Source organism: Homo sapiens, chromosome 8 (assembly GCF_000001405.40).
Source record: "Homo sapiens chromosome 8, GRCh38.p14 Primary Assembly".
In the NCBI taxonomy this organism is placed as follows: domain Eukaryota; kingdom Metazoa; phylum Chordata; class Mammalia; order Primates; family Hominidae; genus Homo; species Homo sapiens.
The window spans coordinates 107,985,847-108,009,667 of NC_000008.11; the positions used below are offsets into that span (position 1 = coordinate 107,985,847).

A 23,821-nucleotide genomic window follows, 5' to 3' on the forward strand; every position below is an offset into this window, starting at 1 on the left:
TCCATAAGTATGGTTGAACTGCATAAGCTTCATACTGTCTGCACCAAGAAGCCAACCTCAGACAACTTTTCAGAGAGCAAATCTTCCTTCAAAAGAAGGATATTGCTTTACATTGGAAATCATACTCTAGTGATTAGGAAACAGATGAGCAAGTTTCAAGTTTCACTTACAAGATTTTTTAGGCTACTATTGCTAAAAGTATAATTTTCTTCTCTACTATTGAGCGATAATCTTTTAAGGAAGAGAAAAGTGGATATCATTTCAAATTCTAAGTCTGTGACAGCTTTTCCAATTTAAATCTTTCTCATCCCCTGAATAAAATACAAATATCAATGCAATATATGCAAACTAGTCATGAAAAAGAGCAAATAATTGGCATGAAAGAAACATGATTATCCAAAGTCGTATACTGTTAAGAAATAATTTTCCATTTTTCACTTTGCTCTAATGGGGTCTTGTTAATAGCACTTCCTGCTTGTACCAGGTAATGATTTTCTCTAGGTCAGTAAACTCCAACATTGATTGTATTCACTTACAAGAAGTCTATCCATAGCAAACCCTTTCTCATATGCAGATTTTCTTTCTAAGGCTGATTTACAGTCACTGCTCTCCTTTCCATTTCTGAGAAAACTAAGCCAAAATGTGCTATTAACTCCTGCCTGAGAGTATCTAAGGAAGACTCCATTGATATACTACAAAGTATTGCTCAGGTGACCATTCATACCAGTTTGCATAGGATGGTCCTGGTTTACATCCAATATCCCTGCATAGTTGTTAATGGCAGCCCCTCTCATTTCCCAGTGTCCCACATTGAGTAATACATTATACGGCCACCCTATTGTCCATATAAGTACATACAATGCTAGCCCTAGAACTTGGAATAAATGTTTCTATCCATCTACACTCTTGCCTTGTCTTCCTTGTGCGCTAATAGTCTGGAATGAAACACATAAAACTGTGGACTCAAACCACCACCCCCGCCATAGGTAGTCTAAAGAAATCTGAACAGGAATCCTTTCCAAGGTGGAACATATCTTCCTCTGGAAGTTTATAAACTATGAGAAATAAATTATCAAGTAGCCTAAATCATATGCCTTAAGAACAAAATTCATATTTGCAAACATATTTGCAAGCCAGTCTACAACTGGTGGGGAGTTGTTTCCTTTAAATATTAATCCAAACAATTCCATGAAATGAAGGTAGATCCAAGTTTCCTCTAAGCCTAAATATTTCTAACTCTGCTAACGACGTAACATCATCCAGTACTTTAGCTAGAAGACCTTAGGATCAAGTTTGATTCTTTCTCTTAGCTCTGTCCAGTTAGTTACCAGGCCCCACTGGTTCTATTTTTAAAGCCTCCGCAATTTATTACCCACAAAAAAAATCATCAGAACAAGTTTTCTAATCTGCAATCATTATAATAGCCTTCCTTTACTTTTTGTTCCTCTCCAATTCATCTCCCTCACTTCTGCTAGAATTATCTTAAAGCAATCTCTTTAGTTCACTGCCTACTCAGTACCCTTAGATAATACCAAGACTTCTTAGCCTAGCAGGAAACACCTTTATCAGTTGCACTGCAGCCTCCCTTTCCTTCCTCAATTCCAACCACACCTCCCACTAGGCACATGCTCTTCAATGGTTTTCATCCAGCTACTGTACTGCTCTTCCACGAAGTGTTTAAAAATGTTTGGGGACATGTTTGCTTATAACAGTAGTGAAGACACAAAGGACATTTAATGGGCAGGGACCAAGGACACTAAATGTCCAGCAATGTAGGACAGGTCCCATGAAACAGAGAACTGCATTGCCAAAATGCCAAATAACACTCCAGGTGAGAGTTCTTGTTCCCCAAATACATTATTTTTACATATATGTGGTTCCTTCTTTCTAGAATTTATTTAACCAGCCCCCACTAGTTCTGCCACCTTCCAAAATAATATTGTCCTTGGTTGATGTAATTCAAACTCTTCTCATCTAAAGACTGTCTTGCCTGAATAGACACATACACAGTGTGTTAATGGGAGATCATTAAATCACTCTCATAAATATGAGATTTAATTATCTCATATATATATGAGTGATTTAATGATTACTGACACAGCCCTTAATATATTAAATTATGAATAACCTGCTTACCTTTTGTCATTTTATTCTGTGGTCCCCTTTTTCTTATCCTTTCTATCCCCTAAAATTTGAGTTCCTTAAAGAAAGGGATGTTCCTTTGGTATCTATTTTTTTAAACCACAATTTCTATGGCTGACCTAGAAGACGAGACTCATTCTGTAAGTGATTTTTGGATTAAAAGATGAAAAATTGCACCCTCATTACTATGTACAAAATGCCATTCCTTAAACGTTTTTAAATAGTTGTTAAACTTATAATTCAGATTACTTTAAAATAACCTAAACATTTTAGTTATATTAGTAATGGTACTTAAAAAAAAACACCTTTACCATATATTTAATTGCAGGTTAGACTAATGAAGGATTACCAACTCAGATAAAAAGAGAAAAAGAAGCTATAGAAATTGGTAAACCAGAGAGATTGTTCTCAGCATAAAGTACTTAAATTCCTTTGTGGTTTTTTTTTTTTTATAAGCACTGAGTAGGTACTCGTTACAAAAATCTGTCAAACAAGATTGTACTTGAGATCGTTGTGATTAAAAAACTACTTACATAATCTAAAATAAAGTGTGTATGTGGAATTGTGTCTTACAGCTCTATACAAAATATAAAGTAAAAGTGCTCTTATCCTACCATACTCATTTTTTCCAAGTTTGAGCTTAGACTCTTTTTTTTTGAGATGACATCTCACTGTGTTGCCCAGGCTAGAGCACAGCGGTGCTATCTCAGCTCACTGCAACCTCCGCCTCCCAGGTTCAAGTGATTCTGGTGCCTCAGCTATCCCAGTAGCTGGGATTACAGGTGTGCACCACCATGCCTGGCTAATTTTTGTATTTTTAGTAGAGATGGGGTTTCCTCATGTTGGCCAGACTGGTCTCCAACTCCTGGCCTCAAGTGATCCACCTACCTTGGCCTCCCAAAGTGCTGGGATTACAGGCATGACCCACCACACCCAGCAAGCTTAAACTATTTCTATCACCTATTACAAACACATTTTTTTTAAAAAAATCATTCAAAATCTTCAACTTAGCTCCTCTCCTAAGTTGCATATCCAGCAATACAGGATAGACAAAACCAAATGCTCACTTGCACATCTGTTCATATCTGGGGCTCGGTGTCCATAGTACCCGGATGGGCAGGAATGCAGGCACTCTCCATACTGGCGCATCCCTTCTCTTCGAAGGAAGAAGAACAACTTCTGTTGACATCGGCTACACCCATTGTCCTTTGAACAAGACAAACAACCCTTGCAAATGGGATTTGATACATAACTAGCTGTAAAAGAAAAACAAAAATTGTGTTTAATTATCAGTATAATCAGATTTTTGGTAAATACACCTGCTGAAAAGACAAATGTTTCTTTTCTTTCTGCTATACTCACATAGAAATACTAAATAAAATATCCCTCCCCTTCTTCCCTCTACCTCCTCCACCCAAAAAGTTGTTAATACACAACCAAACTTAGAAACAAAGAGGAAACTCAGAGGCAGAGTTGAGGCCAGAAGCTAAAGCTGAATGGCTCATGGGGATGTCAGACCAGACAGAGGTAGAACTTAGGGCAAGGTCCTCAACCCAGGCCAAGAAATATTTATGTGAAGATCTAGCACTTAGCTCCCTTTATGTAGATGGAGTAAATGGGGCTGTTTGTCCATGACCCCCTGCCCTAACTGGCTAGAGCAGGGGATTCTGACCCTAGCTTGGGAGCACACAGCAGGTAAGCACAAGAGAAAATATAATTCATGAGACATCAGAACACCAAGTCCACAAGGCTGGGATCCAAATCAAAATTATCATTGTAGCATGGGGGCTATATGATGTTGACAAGTTAAAATAAGAATTTGTCCAGATCCAGGAAAACCCAGAAAGAAAAAATAAATAAATATAGAATTACTCTCTAGATATTTTCTACAATCCTGAGACCTAGACTTTCATGAAATGCTACCTTAACATCAAGATGAACAAATCATATGAGCAAGTAAACCTTCATGAGGAACAGTCAACAATATCAGTAACAAGAAAACTTCACACCTAAAAAACCAGAAATAAGGACATTCTAAAGGAGTCTTTAAAATGAATATCTACAGAATATCTGAAGAGATAAAGGGATAACTAGAAATCACATGGGAAAAAGCAAGAATGTGCACATTACAATGAAATGAAAATTCTAAAACTTAACAAAAAATTCTATGGACAAATTGAATGGTAGAAGAGAATGACATAACCAAAAACACTTTTAAATAACTGTAGCACAAAACAAGATAAAAAGGTACTAAGCATGTAAGAAAAAAACAGAAACGTTCCAATACATGATTAGTAGTTACTACAGAAGGAAAGAGTAAAGAGAATGAATAAAACACACCTTAAAATGAGACGCAACTTCAGCAAAGTCTCAGGATACAAAATCAACATGCAAAACTCACTAGCACTCCTACACACCAACAGCAGTCAAGCCAAGAGTCAAATCACAAACAAACTCTCATTCACAATTGCTGCAAAAATAATAAAATACCTAGGAATACAGGTAACTAAGGAGATGAAAGATCTCTATAAGGAGAACAACAAAACACTACCCAAGAAATCAGAGATAACACAAACAAATGGAAAAACCTTCCATGCTCATGGATAGAAGAATCAATATTATTAAAATAGCCATACTGCCCAAAGCAATTTATCGATTCAATGCTATTTCCATTAAACTACCATTGACATTTTTCACAGAACTGGAAAAAACTATGTTAAAATTCACATGGAACCAAAAAAAAGCCCAAATAGCCAAGGCAATAATAAGCAAAAATAACAAAGCTGGAGGCATCATGCTACCTGACTTCAAACTATACTACAGAGCTACAGTAGCCAAAACAGCATGGTACTGATACAAGAACAGACAGGCTAATGGAACAGAATAGAGTATCCAGAAATAAGACCACACATCTACAACTGTCTGATCTTTGACAAACCTGACCAAAACAAGCAATGAGGGGCTGGGTGCGGTGGCTCACGCCTGTAATCCCAGCACTTTGGGAGGCCGAGGCAGGCAGATAACCTGAGGTCGGGAGTTTGGGATCAGCCTGACCAACACGGAGAAACCCTATCTCTACAAAAAATAAATAAATAAACAAAACACAAAATTAGCTGGGCATGGTAGCGAATGCCTATAATCCCAGCTACTTGGGAGTCTAAGCCAGGAGAACTGCCTGAACCTGGAAGGCAGAGGTTGTGGTGAACCAAGATTGTGCCATTGCACTCCAGCCTGGGCAACAGGAGTGAAACTCCATCTCAAACACACACACACACACACACACACACACACACACACACACACGCAATGGGGAAAAGATTCACTATTCAATAAATGATGCTGGGATAACTGGCTAGCTATATGCAAAAGATTGAAACTGGACCCCTTCCTTATGCTATATATAAAAATTAACTCAAGATGCATCAAAGACTTAAAGGTAAAACCCAGAACTATAAAAACCCTGGAAGAAAACCTAGGTAATACCATTTAGGACATAGGCACAGGCAAAGATTTCATGATAAAGATGCCAAAAGCAATTGCAACAAAAGCAAAAATTGATAAGTGGGATCTAATTAAAGAGCTTCTGTACAGCAAAAGAAAATATCATCAGACTGAACAGGCAACCTACAGAATGGGAGAAAATATTTGCAAACTATGCATCTGACAAAGGTCTAATATTTAGCATCTATAAAGATCTTAAATTCACAAGGAAAAAAATCATTAACAAGCAGGCAAAGGACATGAACAGACACTTCTCAAAGGAAGACACACACGTGGCCAACAATCATATGAAAAAACTCAACATCACTGAATATTAAAGAAATGCAAATAAGAAATCACAATGAGATACCATCTCCCACCAGTCAGAATAGCTATTATTAAAAAGTCAAAAAATAACAGATGCTGAGAGGTTGTGGAGAAAAAGAAACGCTTATATACTGTTTGTGATAGTGTACATTAGTTCAACCATTATGGAAGACAGTGTGGCAATTCCACAAAAACCTAAAGATGGAAAAACCATTCAACCCAGTAATCCCATTACGGGGTATATACCCAGAGGAATATAAATCCTTCTATTATAAAGACACATACACACATATGTTCATTGCAGCACTATTCTCAATAGCAAAGACATGGAATCAACTTAGGTACCCATCAACAACTGACTGGATAAAGAAAATGTGATACACACACACACACACACACACACACACACCATGGAATACTATACAGCCATAAAAAAGAATGAGATCATGTCCTTTGCAGGGACATGGATGGAGCTGGAGGCCATTATCCTTAGCAAACTAACACAGAAACAGAAAACAAAATACCCCGTGTTTTCACTTATAAGTGGGAGCTTAATGATGAGAACACATGGACACATAGAGGGAAACAACAGACCCTGGTGCCTATTGGAGGGCAGAGGATGGGAGGAAGATGAGGATGAGGAAAAATAACTAATGGGTACTAGCCTTAATACCTGGGTGATGAAATTATCTGTACAGAAAACCCCCATGACACAAGTTTACCTATGTAACAAACCTGCACTTGTACCCGTGAACTTAAAAGTATATGTTAAAAAAGGAATAAAACACACTGTTCAAAGAGATAATGGCTGATTAATTTCCAGATAAAGACATGAGTTCTTAGATTAAAAATTAAGAGACCAAACAAGTCTACATCTAAATGCAGTACATTTACATGCCATGAGAATAAAGTCAAGCCAGAGAGGAATAGCAGATTATCTAGATAAGGATAAAACTTTGACTGACAGCAGACTTAGAAAAAAATAAAGATTAGATAGCCGAGATACTATCTTCAACATGTTGAGGAAAAATTATCAAACTATAATTCTATAAGCAGTTATAGTTTAACCAGGTGAGCAAAATGAAGATATTTTAGCCAAAGTAAAGGCAAATATCTTAATTTTTTTTAAAGCATTAACTAAAAGATTAAACTCTGAATATTGGAGAAAATAAAACAGAACCCAGAGGAAGTAGAATGCAACAAGCTATAGTGATCACACCAATTGAAAAACATGTTCATGTCTCTATACAAAAGCATAGCATGTAAAAAACATATAATGATTTTCAAGTTTTGAAACTAAATATCTTATATTCACAAAAATAACACAGAAGACTTGAGAAGGAAGCCAAACTTAAAGCATTCAGAGTTTCCGCATTATCAGTGAGGAAGACTAATGTAAATTAAAATGTAATTACTATAACTTTAAGTTCCTAACTACAAAAACAATAACAGAATCTATAACTTCTAAACCAGTGACAGCTACAAAAGATGTAATATATGTATAAAATATGGGTAGGAAGAAACAATCCGAATATCTATGAACAGAATAGACAAATTACGGTATATTCAAACTATTTGAGTTTTACTCAGTAATAAAAAGGATAATACAGATACACATGACATGAATGAAATTCACATACATTATGCTGGTCAAAAGAATCCAAACAGATACAAAAAAGAGCATGCTCTAGATAATTTCATTTATATTAGGGTCAAAGGCAGGCACGGCTAATCTGTGGTGATAGAAATAAGACTACTACATGCCTTTGAGGATTGAGGACTGACTGGAAAGGGGCATAATAGAATTTGCGGGGGATGGAGGAGGTATATTAGTTTCCTTGGGCTGCTGTAACAAATGACCACAATTTGGTGGCTTAAACAACAGGAATTTATTATCACAATTCTAGAGACTAGAAGTCTGAAATCCCAATATCGTATCAGCAGGGCGTGCTTCCTCTCAAGGACTCTGGCAAATCCTTTCTTGCTTCTTTCAGTCTTTGGTAGCCCAAGGCATTCTTTGGCTCATAGTTACATGAAGTCAATCCCTGCCTCCATTGTCTTATGCCTTCTTCTCTTGTATCTCTGTGTCTTTTTCTGTCTCTTACATTGACACTCTAATTGGATTTAAGGCCCATCTTTATCCCATAATCCCATAGAATCTCATCTTCATCATCTTCGTTGCATCTGCAAAGACCCTGTTTCCAAAAAAGGTCACCTTCTAAGTTTCCAGGAGGATATGAGTTGGGGTCATGGGGTGAATATTGGAGAAAATAAAACAGAAAACCCCCATGACACAAGTTTACCCTGTGCACTAGTCAATTCGCTAAAGGGGTTGATGGAAATGTGCTATATCTTGCCTGGATTTTGGTTACACAAATGTATACATTTGCAAAACCCAAAACTATGCATTTATCTAAGTATATTTGTACATTTTTACAATTAATATGCATAATTTACAAGTAAATTATATCTCATTAGAAAAAGTAAAGCATATAAAGGCTATGTGCTAATTTCAGTACAATGTACTTACTTACAATTACACCTCTTTTGAAGATTCCATAAATTATATTACTCACCAGTAAGATATTATTTACTTTTTTTTTCCAAACAGAAATATCCTACTGATGGGACATGGTGGGAGAAGACAGTACTAAGCAAATGTCGAAATAGCATCTAAGATAAGTTAATACCTGAACCATATGAAGTTCACTGCATCTGATGGGGACAATCGTACCTTAAAAGAAAAGACACAAAATACTCTTTCCTATAGCTGGTATAAAATGTAGAAATGATACAATCTGAAATATTATAATTTCTAAAATATTAAAAATTCATGTAACTTTTAGTTTTCACTACGCCAAGCAAGGTCATAAATACAACAGAATACATGAGGCCACAATGACTTCATTTTATCGAGTTAACCCAAGAAAGAATTAGGAGAGAAGAAATAGAAAACTCATCAATTATTGAAACTTTTAGCTTTGAGACTACATGTTGTTTACCCTCCATATAATCAGTCTTGTGTATAAAACTAATATCAAGCAATAAGTGGTCAGACTGGCAGCTATACAGAGTACATTGTATACCATGTCATTCCTTTATTATAACAATTTAATGGCCATTATATTTATAGCAACTTGCAGCAAATCTACACAGATTTTAGATCCACAAGAGAGTCTTCCTTCTTCCCCAAAGCTTCCCACAGCCTCTCATCCAGGAAGTCCCAAAACCAGGGCTTATTCTACCAAAGGGACCAAACAAGAAACAAGGCCCTTCAGGATCAGGAATCAAGGCCAATATAACATCTTGAATTGGCCAGAAAGATCTACTCTTCACATCTATTCTAGGACTCTTTTCTATCAACTGTTCTCTTTTATTTGCATGTTGAATCTATTTCATGGACATTCTCTCACTTGAAAACCTATCTATGCTTTCCAAATAATTCTCATTTAATACTTTATTTCCCTAAATCTGCAATTGTTGGGGGGCAGAGCTAGGGAACCAATTCTGATGAAAAATCATCACCTCAGATACAGTTACCAATAAAATTCTGGGTAAGCGACTTTCCAAATGCTCCTTTATATATATATGCATGTATACATTATATAATTTGTGTTTTTCATACACATCATACTGTACCTGTTGGGTCATAACTTGTTCAATTTCAGCTAAGTTGTTAGCATCTTTCCATAACAATGAACCAAACCAATGTCACCGTCACATTTCTTCAAAGTGTCAGTTAAACCTGTTGCCTCTACTTATCACCATCCTCTGCTGAATTATCTCTAAAACTGCTTTTATGAAGACCACAACCAGTTTTCTCATCCCTCATTCAAGATCTCATTCTCAATTTCTGATCCTCACAATTCCAATAGCCTAGGTTGCTGAAGGTTTTCTTCCTCCTCTAGCTTCTATGATAATATCTTCTCCTACAGATTTGATTCTGACCCTCACCTTTGTCATTTCCATGAATCTTCTCATAATTCAGGCCTTTATCACTTCTCATTTGAATAGTTATGAAGTCCCAACCCTAGACCTACCTCTCCCTACTTCACTCTACATTCTATTGCTCAATTTTCCTGCTTTTATACTCACTATGGTATTTTGTTACACCTTAATATTGCCAGATAATTATGATTTGAAAATCATTTTTGCATAGCTGACCAAAAATAAGCTTATACTATCTACAATTTTTCCAGCTGCCTTCTGAAGAGGTTTTATTCTGGTATCATTCTTAGTATCCTGAGTAGGGTGTAAGTGAGTGAGGTTCAAAAAAATTAGGATATCGTTTAACTTCTCTGTGCCAGAAAGGGTAAAAAATTGAGGGAGATGGGAAAAGCTGGAGAAGAGCAATGAAACTGGGAATACTGACAGGCTGTGTGAGGAAATGGCTATGGTGGAGGAAAAGGTAGCTAGAGAGAATCCAACTCTTGTTCATTTTCAGGGTTGTCCAAGATTGTAACCCACCTTAAGCATGAAGACCCTATGGAATGATATTTAGAGAAACAATTTATGACTCTTTCACGAAAAAGCCACCCCTTTAACATGAACAACTGAGAGACTAAGGCAAGGGCAAGGGTTGCTGGCTGAAGCTACATCAGAAGTAGCCCCACACTACAAAGCCCTCTGAAACATACTGACGAACTTCTGCTCTAGAATTTATATGCAGATTTGAAAAACCAAGATCAAGCAATTACCCAAGGAAATATCCAACCCAAATCTAGCTTTATAAATAAAAGGAGATTCTGGAAGGTTTACAAGTACACAGCAGAATGGTTTAAGGAGGAGGTTCACTGTCCTACAGTCATCACATGCTAAAGTTGAAGCTATACTTTCAGTTCAAAAGTTAAACCAAAGCTCTTTATCACCATAAATCATGCTCCACAGTAAGAAGTATAGAGAAAAGAGAATTACAGAACCAAGAGAATCAACACAAATTAAAGGCTTTTTGTTTTGTTTTTATGTATCAGGAGCCAACTTTCATCTTGACCACAAAGATCTCAGAGTCAACAAACTGTGCCCTGCATTTTTTAAAAAAGGTATTATTAAAAGCATTGTTTTATTTACTTGAACCTCAACAGACTTAAACAATGAAAATGAATTAGGGAATACTTACCCAAGTCCATATCTTAGGTTATCTTTATAACCCTACACACGAGGAATTCCCTTAAAGCAAAAGTGATGTGAACCACACCTAACCTGAGTACTCTCTCCCCACTTTCTCCAATCTTCAATCATGATGCTGCTCAGTGCTGAAGGACAAGAGCCCATGTGATTTTTACAATTTGAAGCTTCTTGCCCCAAACCTCAAACAGACTTTTCCATTTAATTCACCATTGTCCACTATTTTAGTGGCATTCTCCCTGTTGTAAATCAATAGCTTAGTAATTCCACAAGAACTTCTCCATCTACCACATGGTCACTACACCAACCTCTGTGTCTAAACACAGGCAAAAAATAGACGTTTAAACATGAATAGAGTAATTTATTTTGTCAGGATCTTCATAAGTTGAATGGCTCTGCCCATTGCTCTGAGATTTAATTCAAGTGTGCAGGTGGATAAACAGATCTTAATTCTCAGCTTTGATGACCATGTTTATTTGCTCTCTGTGAGCTTCAACTTTTCCAACCCTAAAGCCCGCTGAGATCCAGAGCCTTATCATTCCAACCAAAACAGTTTTCTAAATCTAGACCCACCCAAAATTCTAAAGATGAAATATATCTCATAAAACATGGAAAATCCTGAAAATAGTCATAAACAGTGATTCTAGCACAAACCCACACATATCCCCTTGATGGGAAAAGGAATATTATAGGGATTTAGCAAACAAGAAAAACCATGAGACTGAAACAAGGTAACACTACCTAAATCACAAACAGTTATATCAAGAGAGAAAAAAGCAGCATAGGTATTACTCTTTATTATTAATTCTAATTAGTTGATTTGTGTTCCCCTTAAATTATAAAGTAAGTTTAGCCTTTTTATGAATTCTGGTATTCTAAAGTCTGGCCCTTTGTTAAATCCAGTTATTCACATTTATCTCATAGAGTATTTTATGTAGGTGTTGAATGCCCATGTGTTTCTAATATACTCCTGACTTTTAAAAAAATGTGTTCCGTTGTTTCTGCAGTTAGCCCTTGCCAAGCAAGAAGAAATCTGAATTCCTTCTAGGTGAAGGCATCCATCCTGACAAAGGTACAGATTTCTAATTCTGAAAATAATAAGACTGAACAGTGGGCTGTTGGCATCTTAGCCTCACTCTGTATTTGCTGGTCAAATAATGTTGCAAGTTCAACAAATTTTTAAATGAACAATTAATATTAACTTCATCAATTAATATCACAAAATTGCTAATGTATGCCTCTTCTTAACCTCAAGTTCAAGATATGTATTTAAGGAAGAAAAAAAAAAACCCATAGAAGGAGCAGGATTGAGAGAGGTAGGGGGGAAACCCAACTCTGGCACCAATAACAGGGAACTTGCATGTCGGATGCTATAGAAATCAAGTTGGATACATTCTCCCCACTAGATCTTGGCAGCAGTGGTATAAAAATCCTGTAATCATGTATACTACCAAGCTCAAACTCAATTAAGCAATCAACGTAATGAATTAATGTGCCACACAAGATTTGACCAAAATGGAAAATGCCTATCTTAAGATACTTTGCTTAGTTTTATATAAAATTATAAATATTTAAATATCAAACCCAGTAGTCCGATTGTGAATGTAAAGACAACAAATTTTAATGCTAGACCATCACCATTATAAGCATCATGCCTTGGATAGAAAATAAATACCATGATTAAAAATGTTAATAAAGCTTAAAGGTAAATTTCTAAATTTCCTTTAATATTTAGAAGGGCTATATTAACATAAATTTAATCTAGAAAAAAATTGATAATCAAGATCAAAGCTTGTATCAAAAATTTCAAAATTCTAGAACTCCTAGAATTAAACTGTATTTATGGCCAGGCAATGGTGGCTCACGTCTGTAATCCCAGCACTTTGGAAGGCTGAGGCAGGCCGATCACCTAGAGGTCAGGTGTTCAAGACCAGCCTGGCTAACATGGTGAAACCCTGTCTCTACTAAAAATACAAAATTAGCTGGGCATGGTGCCGCATGCCTGTAATCCCAGCTACTCAGGAGGCTGAGACAGAATTGCTTGCGCCCAGGAAGCAGAAGTTGCAGTGAGTTGGGATCGTGCGCCACTGTACTCCAGTCAGTAAGACTCCATCTCCAAAAACATAAAAATAAAAATAACCCATATTTTCTCAGAATCTTTTTATCTTTTCTTGAGTTCTTTAATAGAGAATGATATTTTTAGGTACAAGGTTTACAAAGCTTTAACCTCCCGAGAAGCATTAACTTTGAGAAACTCATATTAATTTATCTAACAATATTATTTAAATATTAATAAATCATATCAATTAGGAATAAAAGATTGGACATATAATTGTCTAGGAGTATTTCCTTGGGAAAATGGTATTTCTAAACATTTGTAAGCCCCTCAAATATGGAAATCATCTCTACAAATGAATATTTTTAATGACATCAGGATTAAAGGTCTTAGATCATTTGGCTTCTCCTATTAAAATATGTATTTCACTGTACAAAAACTCAAAGCTAGGAGAAACTAGGAGTTTTTGTTTGTTTTGAGACAAAGTCTTACTGTGTCGCCCAGGTTGGAGCGCAGTGGCACTATGTTGGCTCACTGCAACCTCCACCTCCAAGGTTCAAGTGATTCTCGTGCCTCAGCCTCCCGAGTAGTTGGGACTACAGGCTTGTGCCACCACACCCAGCTAATTTTTGTATTTTTAGTAGAGACAAAATTTTGTCATGTTGGCCAGGCTGGTCTCGAACTTCTGGCCTCAAGTGATCCGCCTGCCTCAGCCTCCCAAAGTGCTGAAATTACAGGCATGAGCCACCGTGCCCAACCAAACCTAGGAGTTTTTAAATATTGGGGGAGAAAGTTAGAGTCACAGATCTATTTTTAACACATGAAGTGCTAATATCTTCCAAAAAAAAAAAATGAAGAAAATTACCAGAACTATTAGCCCTTAAATACTCTCCAGTGCCAGCACCATTCCAGTTGTAATCCTCATACATTGGCACCTCTGAAGGACATTCACAACCTGGATTAACTATGGCCATAGCATGGGTCACTGGAAAAATATATGTATTTAACACAGCACAAAAGAAACAGGAATGATCTATGAGGTATGTGTCATGAATGCTTCAAAGTCTGATTTAATTAAGACGTCACAGGGCAGCTCAGAATACTTAATAACTACGGTTCAAGGAAAGACGATGAACTGAGGTATGGTTGCAAAATAAATGTGGAGTCTTAGGTGGTTCTGCTTGAGGGCACAATGGACCTGCACAGAACATGATAAACACATTCTCATTCTAACAATTTACACACATCATTAACATTCGAGATAATCTGTCAAACTGGAGGAGATTTAAAGGATACAGACCAAAGCAAATAATCACGGTGGTCATCAGAAGAAAAATAACTTTGGTTCAATACATTTTACCTTGAAACAAAGCAGTGTCCCTTCAACATTTCCCACCCAAAACATAAGCAGCACATGTGGCTTGTGCATCTGGTGGGGGAGTCAGAGATATTCCAAAGGAGCTGCTGATGTGTATCAATGGCAATGAAAGGTACTTTTGAGAAATATTTTTGTGGGGGACACATCAATAGCAAGGCAAGATACTTTTGAGAGTTTTGTGTTTTTTTTTTGAGTTTTTTTAAATCATAGGCTTAGCACCACAGAGAGAGGCTCAAGGAAAGCTAAATTTAGCACTTTGCCAAGCCAGTTCTATGCCCTAGCCAACTGAGAACCAGTCAGAGTGAGAAGCTCAAGTAGAACAGGATTCAACTGAAATAAGTGGGACTTAGAAATTCTCCAGGGAACTCCCGGGCACGGTGGCTCATGCCTGTAATCCCAGCACTTTGGGAGGCCAAGGTGGGCAGATCACCAGGTTAGGAGATTGAGATGATCCTGGCTAACACAGTGAAACCCTGTCTCTACTAAAAATACAAAAAAATTAACCAGGTGTGGTGGTGGGCGCCTGTAGTCCCAGCTACTCAGGAGGCTGAGGCAGGAGAATGGCTTGAACCAGGGAGGTGGAGCTTGCAGTGAGCAGAGATCTCACCACTGCACTCCAGCCTGGGTGACAAGAGCGACACTCTGTCTTAAAAAAATAAAAATAAATAAAAATAAAATAATAAAAAAAATTAGCCAGGCGTGGTGGCGGGCGCCTGTAGTCCCAGCTACTCAGGAGGCTGAGGCAGGAGAATGGCGTGAACCCAGGAGGTGGAGCTTGCAGTGAGCCAAGATCGCGCCCCTGCACTCCAGCCTGGGCGACAGAGCGAGACTCCGTCTCAAAAAAAGGAAAGAAATTCTCCAGGGAACATTTCCAAAAACAGTCATGAATACCCCAAATCAAGTAAAAAGACAAAACACAAGAAAAAAGTAGTTATCTATAGGCCCCAATAAGAAATTAAAATCGTGAGACCTCAATTTAGCATAAACAATTCCCCAAATGATGAAGCCCTTCCCATAATTAACACTTTGGGAAACCAAGCCCTATAAGAATTACTCCCCTTTTTCCCCCTAGAAACTCTTTTGACACAAAAATCTTAATGCATATCCCTACACTAGACGTTAATTCTCACAGGTAATGAAAAAAAGTGTACAATTAAGGATCACAACACATGCATCGGAAAACTGAACTATTTAAGTGGGAAAATATGCTACCAGAATCACGAGCTCCTCAATTTGTACAACTGCTAACACCAATAACATTAATTAGTTGAATCAGAAGTAAAACATAGGATGGTTGGGTGTTGCTCATTTTTCCAGAAAGAGATGATGTTTTTGAAACAAGGGAAGAATCACATCCTAAGTTCTAGAAAATAAGCCACCTGCTTGAATCAGTGAGGGAAAAAAAAAATTGTACTCCATAAATTTCTTCCAACACCAAAAGAAAAGTATGCTTAAAGTTAGCATGTGTGTGTTGAACAAGGAAAACACATGGACACAGAGAGGGGAACATCACACACCAGGGCCTGTCTGGCAGGGGGTGGGGGCAAGGAGAGGGATAGCATTAGGAGAAATACCTAACGCATGCCGGGCTTAAAACCTAGAAGACGGATTGATGGGTGCAGCAAACCAACATGGCACATATATACCTATGTAACAAACATGCACATTCTGCACATGTATCCCAGAATTTAAAGTATAATAAAAAAAAGTTAGCATGCGTGCTATCCTATAAGCCTTAGCTTGAAACTGCTGTGTTGTACAGATTACTTATGCCAAGTGTTGGCTGGAGCTTTCACAACATACTTAAAAGACCCTGTGGAAATGTTGACAGACTGCTGGTGCTAATGGTAACCCCAGCATGAGCAGATCTAAATATATACATTTATGAAGATTGCAAAACCACCACCCTCACATGGTTCCATGTTTATACAGGGAGATAATCCAATTATTTAAATAGAAGAAAACAAACTGCTCACAAACAGAGCCAGATTTTTGTTCCATAAAGTACTTAAATACTTCTTATACTAACACAATTTAAAAACAGTTTTGCATACTTCCTAAGAAATGGAATGTAAGTGCCATAGTGTCTGACCTATCCAACTGCCTGTAGGAAAATCTTCCCCTCCTGCCTATCCAAAATTAAATTGCTTTTTTAAAAAGAGGGGTAGGATGGACTCTATTTAATGTATAATTCTCACCGTGTTTAAGTTATTCAATTATCCCTCATATATCACCTGCTTCCTAGAATAGAAACTAGTTGGTCACTCCTGCTTACATCACTGTCTTAATATTAAAAACAATAAATGGAAACAAACTAGATGACTTATTTGGTGTCATAAACACAGCCCTCAAGAAGAATCAGTGTCATAACTAACCAGATCAAAGACTCCATGTGTTTTAAATGTGGAAACTTCCATGGGTTTTACCACTGTGTTTTAAAATTGAGAATGGCCACTCTTGTTAACTACACTATTTAGAGAAAGGTTTCTTTAAACAAAGATAATTTTTTTAATTGCCTTAATAAAAAGCATATTAACAGACACCTAAAGTTGACAAATGTTATTATGGAATACTATACTATCATGCAAAAAAAGTCAGTTTTCTACAATGTAGTTCACTGTTGGTAAAAGTCAAATGTTAACAAAAATCAGAATGATTACTGAATCTCCAGACTTGCACAGAATTTAGACCTCAATAATTTTTTTTTTTTTTTTTGAGACAGAGTTTCATTCTTGTTGCCCAGGCTGGAGTGCAGTGGTGTGATCTCGGCTCACCACAACCTCTGCCTCTCAGGTTCAAGTAATTCTCCTGCCTCAGCCTCCCAAGTAGCTGGGATTACAGGCATGCACCATCACACCTGGCTAATTTTGTATGTGTGTGTATATATGTATGTATGTATGTGTGTGTGTGTGTGTGTGTGTGTGTATATATATATATATATATATATATATATATATATTTTTTTTTTTTTTTTTTTTTTTTTTAAGTAGAGACGGGGTTTCTCCATGTTGGTCAGGCTGGTCTCAAACTCCTGGCCTTGGGTAATCCGCCGACCTCTGGTGATCCTCTGGCCTCAGCCTCCCAAAGTGCTGGGATTACAGGTGTGAGCCACCGTGCCCGGCCTAACCACTGGTCTGCATTTAACATTTATAAGCAGGTTATTTTGACATGCTTTGTTGATTTGCTAACTTCACAGCAATCCATACCTTAGACCGACCCAATTTGAAATCTAATTGCTTAACTATCCTTACTCTAACAAGGTTCTGTCTATTATGAATAAGAAGAAATTAAAAAACAGCAAAGTCAAAATAAGGGTTAAAAAGAAAAAAAATTAACCCCGGGGAACATGCTACAGGACAGATTGCAGGCTACAGGTTTTCACACTTTTTGAAAGTAATGCTTCTGATGTATAATTTTCATTTATCAAAGTGAATAAACAGATCAGAGAGTTTTAAAAAATCTTTCCAAGATCATAGTTTGTGACAAATTTGAATGCAGTTCTGACCTTTAACTTCAAAATCCTGGCTGTTTATTTCCTGTTAAACAATATATGTACAGCACCTAGGGGAAGAAATGCATTATACCATAATTTAAATTGCAAGAACTTTCTTTCAAATTAGGCCATACCCTCATAATTCGTTCGCTGCTCCTTTCCTCCGTTTTTAGCTACAACAAAATAATCAAAGTTCCTTTTGATGATTAGTCACTAAAAATACTATGCTAATTTTTCCTAACACAACTAGAACTATAAACCAACAAAATTAAGATATCACCCACAAAAACACTTCAGAGTAAAACTGCTGATCCATCAAAAAGGATAATGGGGGAAACTGAGTTACAAGTTTCCTCTGGCAGAGGTTAAAGAGAAATCTTCAGAATTATAAATGGAAAGTCTTTTACTGTTTGGGCATTCAGCAAAAGGCCAGCACTTTTTACAGAGGGATCTCCACTTGACAAGTTCAAAGAAAACAAAAATCACCCCCAAACCATGCAATTTCCTGCAAATGGGCCACTCTCCTCACTGTCTTTGAAGATAGATCCTGCCCTGGCTAAGGGGCCTTTGAAGTAACACAGCAAGCATACCTATGTAATTAGAAAGCCTGAGTATACCACTCAAATGATCAAAACTAGACTTTACAAATGCATGAAAGCCAGAGGAATGAAATGAACAGTTTTGGAGAGGAATTTGTCACTGCTTATTGACCATGAGTCTCCTCCATCTTCTCCAATTCTTGGAAGCCAAAAGCAACCTGCATCTACATTCATGGAAAACTGTAAATGGTACTTGATCATTCTCAAAAAGTGGCAAAACTATATGTGTATGTATATGTAGCCAGATATGTATATAGACATGTAGGTTTATACATATGTAATATATGTGTGTATACAAATGTATACATATGATTTTCTGAGTCATTTAAGTATAATTTACAGATATTCTGCCCTCTTACCTCTAAAATTTTTCAGTAATCAGTATGTATTTCCAAAAACAAAGACATTGCTTTACATCAACCATATTTGATATATTATTTTTTAATCCTCACTCTATAATTATGCCAACAATGTCCTTTATAGTTCTTTATTTTTTTCCTAGATTAGAATCCCTTTTAAGCTAATGTATCATATTATGTTTGAAATCTAACCCAATATGATGGGTTTGAAAATCATATCTCCAAGTCTCCTTTAATCTGGAGTTCTTTCATGAGCTTAACAGTTTTTAAGAGAACAGGTCAGTGATTTACAACATGTCTGTCTGGGCTTGTCTGATGTTCCCTCATGACTGGTCATATATTTGGGGGATAATGTATGAAGTGATGTTTTTTTCTGTGCATCATCTTAAGAGGCACACGATGCATTTTGGTCCCATTACTGGTGATGCTAACTTTGATCACTTGGTTAAGGTGGTGTCTGCTAGGTTTCTATACTATAAAGTTGCTATTTTTTTCTTCTGTAATTGGTAAGTATTTTGAGAGGTGACATAGTAAAACTGTATAAATATCCTGCTGTTCAAATTTTCACACACTGGTTTTGGCATCCAAGAATTGATGATTTTTGCCTAAATAAACTATTACTGTCAGGTTGTCGAAGGTGATTCTTTAACTCCGTCATTTCCTCTCCATTTATTAGTGGGCATGCTAGTTTTGGGGAGGCCTTTCCCTTCTCCCTCATTTGTCTGTCTGCTTGTTTGTTACGTCAAACAAGCAGACAGAAAGGTACTCGTGAATGTTATTCAATGGGCTATAGGCTGTTACTGTCTTTGTTTAATACTCAGATTATTCTAGATTTGTTCAGTAAGAGCTCTCCAAAATATTGTAGTTTTTAAGTTGTATTTTATGTGCATACTATCAAGTGCTTTGGGGTAGAGAAGGAGGAGATGCAATTTATCCTGGAAGAGCTAAGAAATAGGGAGTAACACTACTTGGGTCTTGAAGAGAATACAGGAGTTTGCCTGATGGAACAAGATTTCCAAGTCCAAGGTACAGCATGTACATAAACATACAGATGTATGCACAGGATTGGGGAATGCAAGGATAAAAAGTTTACTATGTCTGATACACCTTGGCTGATTGTATTGGCCATTTATCTTTCACATAAATAGCAAAAACGAAAGGAGTCACTCAATACTTGAATACAAGGAAGAACTGTTAATACAGAAATCAAATGTTATTATGGGCCTTTTTAGAATAGCATACAGAAACTGTGATCCTAGAAGTATAATCCTATACTTTAAGAACATAATTTTAAAAGTTCAGAAGAAACACGTTTGTGTTTGCGGCCAAAGTTTCTAAATTAGAATATAAATTAGAAGGACATTTACAAAATAAGAACATCTTTACATAATCCCAAAGGGGAAAAGAAGAGTGATATTCTAGAGAATTCAACACAATTGCATAGGAAGTTCTCTGATGAATTCAAACATTTTAAACAACATGTACAAAAGGATATATTCAGGGGAAAAAATAATATCAAAAGAAATGTGAAGGTTAAAGTTTCCTAATATTTATGAAAAATTATTTTTAAAGCAAGTTTAATTTTAAAAAATTAAGCTCACTTACTAAGTTATAATGTAATATTAGATGAAAGGGATAGGAAGACTATGGGGTTTTTTGGTCTGTTAAAAATAGGGACCTTCAAAGTGAAAAGGAAAAGATCAAGCATAGCTTAAGGAGAAGATATTAAAATATAAGACAGACAAGAAGGCTCTAATTATTTACATTTTTATAGATTTTTTTTAATACTGGCAAACTGATTCTGAAAAAAAAAAGAGGAATTCAAGAAGAAAGAAGGATAAATGTCTGATTTTCAATATGTTGGGAAAAGTCAACTTTACAAACTCCAAATTCTGAAAAAGATTGTAGGACACCGGGATTGTAAACACTGTATAAACACCTTACCTGGTGTAAGTCACGAAGTCATATCAAAACTATCATTATTTAAAAAATAATTTCCCTTGCATTCTCTCCCTCTGTGTATGTCAACATTTATATTTGTCTATATCTATATACACACAGATCTAAAGGTAGAGATGAAAAGGCACACACATAATTGTTTTGGTGAACTGTTTGAAAGTAAATTGCAGACATCGCAGTACACCACCCTATATTCTTCAGCATGTACCTTCTAAAAATAAGAACACTGTTTTACATAACCACAATACCATTGCCAGATCTCAGACATTTAACATGGACTTAAAGTATTACAAATATGTTGTCTATATTCCTATTTCTTCATTTCTCCCCAAAAATATTGCTTTTTTCCCACCTATCTTTAGAAACCTATCAAGGGTCATACATTGCATTCGGTTTAGTCTTGTTTAATTTAGAGCAGTTCCTCCACTATTTTTTGCCTCTGTTGACACTGAGATTTTTAGACTCCAGGCTAGTTGTCTTGTAAAATATTCTACAATCCACATTTGAATGATTGCGGCCACACAGATTCACCATTTTGCCATCACTAATGTAATAACTTAATTCAGACAGAGATCATCACCATCCAAATACCATTTGGTGAAAGTTTATTGGGAAAAAATATACCACCCAAGAGATTATGTATTAATCACAAATGAGAAAAGTTGCCTTTATAATGGAGAGATTTGGCCAAACTTACATTAACCAAGTGATCAAAACTAGAATCACCAATAATGGGACAAACTGCCTTACACGCCTGCTGATGTGATGCAACAGAGAGTACACGTCTGCAGAAAAGTCTTGTCAAAGACACATTCTTGCAGTTACTTCATAATCACTAAGTCTCCAATTTCATCTTCAGGCAAACAGAACTTGATACTGTAGAAACCCCATTTCTTCCTCTTTAAAAACTCTTCATTTTTATTCATAGTACCCCCAAGAACAATGTATTTCAAATAAAGAATGTGGCAGAAGGAGAAAATAGCCAGTAAATAAAGACTGTGAAGAGCCTGAGTTTAGCTCAACCTCAGAGCTAATCAAGCTGTGCACATGCCTGTAGTCTCAGCTACTCCAGAGGCTGAGGCAGGAGGGTCACGTGAGCCCAAGAGTTTGAGGCTGCAGCGCACCATAATTAGGCCTGTGAATAGCCACTGCACTCCAGACTGAGCAACATTTTGAGACCCCGTATCTATGAAAAAAATTAAAAATACACCTTGCCTGACTCAAAAAAAGAAAAAAACAGAGCTAATCACTAGGTTCATACACATAGGCATTCACGTATGCAGTACACACATGCCTGCACACACATACACCCAAGGGAGTGGAGTAAAAGGAGAAATTAGCTATTCTCTAGAAAGATCAGTTCATCGCCTTGGTATATAAACATTTCTAGGGCCACCATATATGTTTACGCACTACAGAGCTCAATTTTGTTTTATCTGCACCAATTTTTTCCCTCTAGAAAAATTTTAATGTGAAAACCCAAATTTCTTGCTTTTTTTCTAATAATCAGATGGCATGGTCCACATTCCTGCTTGATAATCATTAACCAGAGCCGAGTAGCAGCCGCCTGCATTAAAATCCATCTATTTAACACAGAGTTCATCACTGTTGGGTAGCCTGTGGCCTTCCTTACTCACAGAAGTAACTGACTGCCTGGCCTCTGAGGATTCAGCTCCACAAAGGGCAGAAGACACCAGAGCTCATATTATCACAGACAACTTCTTACTAACATCCAGCTCACTCAACTCATGGAGAGGTTGCAATCCTCTTACAAACCACTGCAATCTCCTCACTGTGAATTATTAATCATGAAATGGCATAAAAATATTGATGTCATCATATAAGTAACATGCTTAAATTATATGTATTAATACATATTAAGCTATTATAAACACATTTAAAATGTACCCTAATTTCATAATATATCAAATATACTTTGTACAATGGTTTGCTCAATGTAAGTCTATGTTCACAGGGTAATTAAAGAGTCTCCTGAAAGGCTATCTAAAAAGGTCATAAACTGCAAAAAAAAAAAAATAAAGAAAAAGGTAAATTTGACTGAAACAATAAACTTCTTTGCAAGAAAGTACATAAACTAGAAAAGGTCATTGAAACATACAATAATGGTAAATTTTTTTTGTATAAAGAATATTGGCAAATCAAAATGAAGAAAAGTCCTTTCAGAAAAGGAAGTAAAAATATAATAAGCTATTGAAAAAGGTAGAAATTAATTAGACATGAAAAGATGTACAATATATCCAATCTCATTATTGACAAAATGCAAATCAAAATAAAGAGTCACCCCTACATAAAATTAACGTTTAAGGGACTGATGATTTTAACAATTGGTAAGCATTCAGGAAATTAACATCTTATATGCTGCTGGTGGTAATGTAAATTGGTATAAATCTCCTAGAATTGGAATTATTGAACTTTTCCTTTGTAATATTACTTCTATGAAATATGAATTTCATAGAAATTTCATGTGAATTTCATAATATTACTTCTAGGAATCTAGCTGAAAGAATTGGATAAATGCAGAAATACATACAATTTATATCACAGCATTTGCTTTAATAGTGAAAGGACAGTAAACAGCCTAAATGTCCATGAATAAAATACTGAATAACTTACATTAGGTATAAAATATTGACTACAAAGAACCACTGATTATGCACAGCAGTGTTAGTTAATATATAGACAAGGCTCTATATAGAATGGGGGGTAGATTATAAAAACAGTGTAGAATCCTATTTTAAAAAGTCACACACATTACATGTGATTAAATAATATTTGAATATTAACTGATAATTTTAAAATTTATTTTTAGCTCTTAGCTTTTTCTTCATTCAAATGCTCAAGTGGAATTCACTGGCTCAAAGCAAAGTTTCTCAAGAAAAAGAA

At 36.3% G+C, this 23,821-nt stretch overlaps 1 protein-coding gene across 3 annotated transcripts in view, besides 1 other annotated feature; it reads right to left on the reverse strand.

Moving 5' to 3' along the window:
- The window catches only part of RSPO2 (R-spondin 2), a 184,305-nt gene that overhangs the window by 86,531 nt on the left and 73,953 nt on the right, over positions 1–23,821 (reverse strand). For 2 of the 3 annotated variants that reach the window (NM_178565.5, NM_001317942.2), the window contains one exon: positions 3,210–3,398. The exons of the other annotated variant lie outside the window; for it this stretch is intronic. In NM_178565.5, the coding sequence (NP_848660.3) occupies positions 3,210–3,398 (189 nt within the window). The remainder of the gene's footprint in view (positions 1–3,209; positions 3,399–23,821) is intronic. 3 annotated transcript variants of the gene reach the window in all.
- Positions 18,275–18,842: an enhancer, noted in NCBI's record as "NANOG hESC enhancer chr8:109016349-109016916 (GRCh37/hg19 assembly coordinates)". NCBI's record gives its function as "activates a minimal SCP1, AML or CMV promoter by ChIP-STARR-seq in primed H9 embryonic stem cells {active_cell/tissue: H9 hESC(primed)}" and the evidence as "EXISTENCE:reporter gene assay evidence [ECO:0000049][PMID:30033119]".